The following is a 7,732-nucleotide window of genomic DNA, read 5'->3' as shown; positions in this document are numbered from 1 at the left end:
CTCTAGATTTATGTGTCCCTGTCAGTGTTTGCGTCCAACCATGAGCAGATGGTTTACTCGTGTCCATTTCTGGGGCTGGAGAGAGACCAGAGACCAAGAGCTTTGGGCCTCCTCTGATGGGTTCTGTGAACCCCTAACGATGTCAGGACCCAATCTATATCAGAAATGGTAGATATTAGCTCTTTAAACTGAATGAAAGCACAAAATGGCTCTTATAAAACATTTGCGTTGCTTTACAGAGAAATTCCTTTTTCATAGTCTGGTAAAACTTAATGCTGAAATAATGCAATGTTAAAAAATCCTCCTTTAAAAATCTGGAGGACTATGCATAATAACAAACCCCAAAATTCAACCAGTCTTGGACTAGTGCCCAGAGAGCTGCACAAACACAATAATACTTGCTCCTGCCTCCTGCCATTTCCCCTAAGTTAGCTAAAACAGAGCTGTTGTAGGAAAGTGTAGAAACACTCGGCTGTTTACTGGTCCCACTTACTGGGAGTAACATGGAGAGTGGAGCCTCCTCTCTCACCCACAGAAAGTTCTAGGAAATAAGCCTTCCAGCCAATGATTCTATCATTTTTAGAATATTATAATACTTTAATAGAAATCCCATTTAAACATATGGTATATAGAGTATCCCTGAAGATAATGTTTTATACTGTCAAAGAGACTGTCTTCTTTTTTTCCTTTCTCCCTCCCTCTTTTTAACTTCTTTCCTTTTCAATCTTTTCCCTTTTCCTTCCCCCACTTCCTTCCTTCCTTCCTTCCTTATTTCCTTCCTTCCTTCATTGTTTCCTTCCTTCCTTCTTTCCTTCCTTCCTTCCTTATTTCTTCCTATCTTCCTTCTTTCCTTCCTTCCTTCCTTATTTCTTCCTATCTTCCTTATTTCCTTCCTTCCTTATTTCCTTCCTATCTTCCTTATTTCCTTCCTTCCTTCCTTATTTCCTTCCTTCCTTCATTGTTTCCTTCCTTTCTTATTTCCTTCCTTCCTTCTTTCCTTCCTTCCTTCCTTATTTCTTCCTATCTTCCTTATTTCCCTCCTTCCTTCCTTATTTCTTCCTATCTTCCTTCTTTCCTTCCTTCCTTCCTTATTTCTTCCTATCTTCCTTATTTCCTTCCTTCCTTCCTTATTTCCCTCCTTCCTTCCTTATTTCTTCCTATCTTCCTTATTTCCTTCCTTCCTTCCTTATTTCCTTCCTATCTTCCTTATTTCCTTCCTTCCTTCCTTATTTCCTTCCTATCTTCCTTATTTCCCTCCTTCCTTCCTTATTTCTTCCTATCTTCCTTCTTTCCTTCCTTCCTTCCTTATTTCCTTCCTATCTTCCTTATTTCCTTCCTTCCTTATTTCCCTCCTTCCTTCCTTCTTTCCTTCTTTCCTTCCTTCTTCCCTTGTTTCCTTCCTTCCTTCCATCCTTTCTTCCTTCCTTCCTTTCTTTTTTCTTTTTCTTTATTTTCTCTCTCCTTCCTTTCCTTCCTTCTCTTTTTTTTTTCTCTCTCATTCATTCCTTCCATCACGTTTAGAGAAATCACTTGTTTTCAATTGAAGCTGTGTAAGGAGTACCATGAAGTACCTTTTAAAACACATAGTAAGTGGTCAGTAAACTCTTCCATTCTGGTGAGAGAAATGGACAGATCCTGGAGCCATCATATCGCATACCTGTCATTTTATATGACTTACTTAAAAAATGCAGTTGTTCAATGTGAAGCTGTAAAGACAATCTAGCCTGACATTTTCATTATATTTACTATTACAAAATCCAGAATTTTAAATAATCCATAAAAGTGACTAAATCACTTTTTTGGGCACAAAGCAAGCCCTTTGTAGTGAACATTTGTTTGAAGTCTTAGCATCTTGCACTACTAAGGATAGAAGTAATGGTTAATGTAAACAATAGTTCTACATTGGATGCATATTTTGCAGTACTTAAACTTTCCAACCAATGCTGAGGTATGTCTTCTAATTGTACTTTATTTTGCCTGTGCAGTATATAATAGAATTGAGAAAAAGCTAGGATTATTAGTTCTTTTTCTAACAGACTTTTTGTTTGTTTGCTTTTTGTTTTTTGTTTTTGTTTTTGTTTTTGAGACTGAGTCTTGATCTGTCGCCCAGGCTGGAGTGCAGTGGCGCGATCTCGGCTCACTGCAAGCTCCGCCTCCTGGTTCACGCCATTCTCCTGCCTCAGCCTCCCCAGTAGCTGGGACTACAGGCGCCCGACACCACGCCCAGCTAATATTTTTTTGTATTTTTAGTAGAGATGGCGTTTCACCGTGTTAGCCAGGATGGTCTCAATCTCCTGACCTCGTGATCCGCCCACCTTGGCCTCCCAAAGTGCTGGGATTACAAGCATGAGCCACCACGCCCAGCCTCTAATAACCTTTAACAAAGCTACCTATAGTAATAAAACCTATCATTTCCTGTTTCCCAAGTAGATTCTCTTTAAATTTGATTGTTCTTTCATTTATTCAGTGATTTATTCATTCTCAACCCATTCTTTCAATGACCTTAAATCAAAACCAGAGCATATTATTTAGTTGGGTGAAGGTGATTTCTCTTAAAGCAGAATTTACAAGGTCAAAATATTTATCATTTTGGCTGTCCAATTCCATCCAAGGATACATCTTGAGAGTCCTTGATGAGTGTGTAGATTATACAGTCCTTAGACAATCTTCTGTAAATATTGTTAGTTGCAGCCAAACTTTTGACAGGCTCTGGATAGAAAGCTGCACTCTTGGATAAAGACTCATAATGCAGAAGCTCTATATTGCTGAGTGAGGGAGATTTTTAGACTTTGGCAACTAAGAGGACAGGTGCTGTGGGTGAAGCGTAGTTTAGCAGGCTGAGGAGACATGGTAGGTTGCAGGCCACACAACTCTACAAGGAAGTGAATCCCAGGGGCTTCTTCAGGCCCAGCCAGCAGTTTGTTTGTTTGTTTGTTTGTTTTTAAATTAATAGTGAGCAGCCTTGAATTTGTTCCAGCCTTGAACAAATGGACTGTTGTTTCCAGAGTTTCATGCCACAACACAGTGATTTTCAAAACATTTTTTTTCATCAGGAGGGTTTGCTTTCAAATAAAATTGTATATAGAACACTTGTGCATGAAATAGCTCAAAACATAGCTGCTTTGGTTGAAACAAGATAAAGAGCCCATTACAGAAGAGGTGTGGGACTGGCAATTTCTTGAAGCCGGTCTACCAGTCACCCACTAAGTAGTGCTCTCATGAACTATTTCATTATCTGTTTACAGAGCAAGTTAATTGCAGAATGTAGATCCAGGAAGCTGAACAAGATGACCTATGATAATTTGATAATTGAGTGAATTTTGGAGAATATTTAGCAAAAATGGTGATTTTATTTGTACTGTGACTAAAGGTAGTAGTTAACTGACAATGCAGTGAAGTCACATCAGCTGTGAGTTGAATATGTGCTCATCCCAAAACAAAAAGAAAACCAAACAAACAAAAAACTTAGAAGTCCAACAATGTCAGAAAAGAAAACCTAAACAAATCCTAATGAAATTTTCTTGAGAAATATGTCCAGTTGGTTCTGAAACTCATTGGGAAAAGAAAATGTGCAAAATAGTCAATGTCACCCTATTAAACATTAAATAGGCAATTAAGTTTTAGTTATTAAAACAATTCTTGGCATCACAGTAGATCAGCGGAAGAGAATAGGGAGTTCTGAAAGTGATGCATGATAAATGGAGACTTAAGAAAAATTTTTGGTGAAAGTTTAAATCAGGATAGAAGAAAGGGAATCTTCAATAAATGATGGGGAGATTACTGCCTGCCCATTTGGAAAAGAAAATCAGATTAAAGTGATCCCTCATATCAAAATACGCAGCAGTTAAACTCGAGGTGGATCATGGAATTAATTAGAAAAATAAACCTATCAAAGTAGTAGAATAAAATATAGGAGACTGCAGATGAAACACACACTTAAAAATTACTGCTCAAGCTCACTATATTCAGGGAGATGAAAGTTATAACAGTGAAGTGCTATTTTTGCCCACTGAACTTATTGCAACACCAACACTGTTCACTGCTGGTGAAGGTTAGGTAAACAGACACTCTCATTGATGATTGGCGAGGGTGTGAAGAAGTGTGGCCTTGGAGGAATGATCATTTTTGCTGAAACTGTGATAATTTATAGCAGTTCCATATATAGACATTTGTCCCAAAGAAAGACTTGGACATGTGCCCACAGTTCTATATACAAGTACATTCATTACTGCAGTACTCTGCAGTATTATTACGGTGAAAGATTGGAAGCAGCGAAGGAGCGGTTAAACAAACTCTGATGTCACAGGCTATGCAGGAGTATTAGCCACACAGCAGTTAAAAGGAATGCAATAGGCCTGTATGTACTGCCATTGAAAGACTTCCAAGACAGATTTTTAAACAAATAAGGAAAGTTGAAGAAAAATGTGTATGACATGACACTATTCATGTAAAAGATATAACCATATAATTATATATTTATGGATACATATATCTTTTAAATACACTTAAAAATGTCCAGAAAGGTATATGCCAGAAATTATAGTGGTTAACCTCCAGGGACAGGAATGAAATTAGGGCAGTGGTGATGGTGATGGTGGGGTGGGATTGGTAGTCAAGAACGCCATTGTATTTTCTGGCATTATTATGTATTATTTGGCATAAGCACAACATAATTTGTAACAAAAGCAAAAACAGACTAATGGGTTTGAATTTAACTAAAAAGATTCTGCATAGCAAAGGAAACAACAGATTGAAAAGACAATCTATTGAATGGGAGAAAATATTTGCAGAACATATAACTGATAAGAAGTTAATATCCAAAATATATAAGCAACTCAAACAATTCAATTGCAAAAAAAACCAAATAACCTAACTAAAAAATGGACAAAGGATCTGAATAAACATTTTTCCAAAGAAGACATACAAATAGCCAACAGGTATGTTAAAAGGTGCTCAACATCACTAATCACATCTTGGCCATTTGTCCTTGATGGAGAGAACTCTTGTCAGTTTGGGACTTCCTTTAATACCTGCAGCAAAGTGGCATGAAATGGCTTTGGAAGTGGCAACTTCCCTACTTTGGGAGCAAACTCATGGAATACTTCCTCCCGCAGGCACCTCGACAAGAAAAATTATGTCTTGGAATGTTCTTGGAATAAGCAAATGTTTGAGAAATATTCCATGATGCACACTTGCATCATTTCAACTTATTTACCAATTTGTAAGGCTTGCACAACTCTAAGGGAGATGAACAACAATGAACAATGCCCCCTGATGCTGTGCAAATTGGAGGCCCCTCTGTGCCTTGATAACAGGGTCTTAAAGCATGACTTTGGTTAGATCAATTACACTTTTTAACTCTGCCTTGGTTTCCTTCTCTTATTCTTTCTTCTTCATTCTTTTTTGTTTGTTTGTTTTCTTATAAACACTTGATTGGGATATTGTTTAGTCATGTTTTCTTCTAGTATTTTGGCATTTAGGATACTCAAAGGGTAATACTATAGATAACGTGCAGCCTTCAGTATTTCATATGGTGTCATGGCAGAATCGAGCTGGAAGATTGAGGTGAATCGGACTCTACCTTCTCCATTTATTAGGTAGTGTTTCGACAGTGGGGAGAAATACAGGCTTTGGAGTCACCTGCTTGAGTTTTGATCTCAGCTCACCTGTTTGCCAACTTGTGTGACCCTGAGCAAATTCCTTTACTCCCTCTAACTTGGCTTTTAGCAGTCTGTGGCTCTGCATTTAAAAAATCCTCAAGTATTCCCTGGTGAGGAAGGGGCATTCAGTTCATTTCCTGGCATTCCCCAATTTTCTGGGCTCTCCCTAGTAATTTTGGTTGTGGTCAGAGGGCATTTTCTTTACCCATTTTTACCCAGATTGTCCCCCAGAGAGATTCCATTTGCCCTGTCCTCAAACTCTGCTCCTCTTTCTCCTGCTGCTTCTGGTCCTAAGGTCCTGTAAGGAAATGCTGTAACCATGGCCAGGGCAGAGTTCCTTTCGGTGGGGCCTGAACTCAGAATGGAACCAGGTCTCCTGGACTTTCTGTTAATACTTCTTTGCTACAGCACGTACCGGCTGTGTATAAATTTGCCAGATTCTGAGCTTACCTGGACACACTACATTACATGCTCCTGGGCAATGGAAGCGCAGATGTTTTGTTCCATCTTTATGATAAAATGCAGGTTTCCTTTGGAAAGAGTGCTAATTAACGAATTCTTGCTGATTAAATTAAGGGACCAAGAAACACCTGTATGGATGGGTTTCTGAACCTAAACATCAAGCTGTTTGTTGTGATTTGGTCATGTGTTCATTTAGTGGTATCCTGATCTCTGATTTTTTAAAATATCAGACCAATAATGCACATTTTTAGGCCAGTAAAATTTCTAATTAAAAAATGAGGGCTAAATATTATTTTGAGTGATTATGAAAATAACATATGTCAATGTAATTGGAAATACAGAAATTATAAAGAAAAAAATGAAACTTGCCCAGCTTGTCATGTGGAGATAACCACTGTTAACATGTTGGTGATTATCCTTTTACATTTGCACTTGTAGGGCCAGGCACGGTGGCCCACGCCTGTAATCCCAGCACTTCGGGAGGCTGAGATGGGCAGATCACTTGAGGTTGGGAATTTCAGACCAGCCTGGCCAACATGGCAAAACCCCACTTCTACAGAAAATACCAAAATTAGCCAGGTGTGGTGGCGAGCACCTGTAATCCAAGCTACTTGGCAGCCTGAGGCAGGAGAATCACTTGAACCTGGGAGGTGGAGGTTGCAGTGACCTGGATTGAGCCATTGCACTCCAGCCTGGGCGACACAGGGTGAGAGCTTTAAAAAAAAAAAATGCACCTAAAAAACAATATGTACATATATGGTGGGATCATAATGAAGATGCCGTTTTATAACAAGTTTTTCACAACATAATGTCATAATTTCTCATGTCGAATTCTTTTTTTTTTTTTTTTTTTTGAGACAGGGTCTCACTCTGTTGCCCAAGCTGGAGTGCAGTGGCACAATCACTGCTCACTGCAGCTTTGACCTCCTGGGCTCAAGCAATCCTCTCACCTTACTCTCCCTAGTAGGTGGGACTACAGGTGCACACAACCATACCTGGCTAATTTTTGTTTTTTGTTTTTTGTTGTTTTTTTTTTTTTGAGACGGAGTCTTGCTCTGTCGCCCAGGCTGGAGTGCAGTGGCGTGATCTTGGCTCACTGCAAGCTCCCCTCCTGGGTTCACGCCATTCTCCTGCCTCAGCCTCCCTAGTAGCTGGGACTAGAGGCGCCTGCCACCATGCCTGGCTAATTTTTGTATTTTTAGTGGAGACGGGTTTCACCGTGTTAGCCAGGATGGTCTCGATCTCCTGACCTCATGATCTGCCCGCCTCAGCCTCCCAAAGTGCTGAGATTACAGACATGAGCCACCATGCCTGGCCTAATTTTTTTTTTTTTTTGTAGAGACGGGTCTTGCTATGTTGTCTAGGCTGATCTTGAACTCCTGGGCTTAAGCAATCCTCCTGCCCTGACCTCCCAAAGTGCTAGGATTACAGGCGTGAGCCATGATACCCGGCTGCAGTGATAATTCTTTTACAGTATGATATTTAAAGGCTGTATAGAATTCATCTTTTGGATATAAACTAATTTACTTAACCTCTGATTTCTGGACATTTAGATTATTTAAGATAATGAGCCTTGTCATAATGAACATCTCTGTGTTTAACTCAGACAT

This window comes from Homo sapiens, chromosome 2, assembly GCF_000001405.40.
Source record: "Homo sapiens chromosome 2, GRCh38.p14 Primary Assembly".
Classification (NCBI taxonomy): domain Eukaryota; kingdom Metazoa; phylum Chordata; class Mammalia; order Primates; family Hominidae; genus Homo; species Homo sapiens.
Note: the sequence above shows the minus strand (reverse complement) of the source record.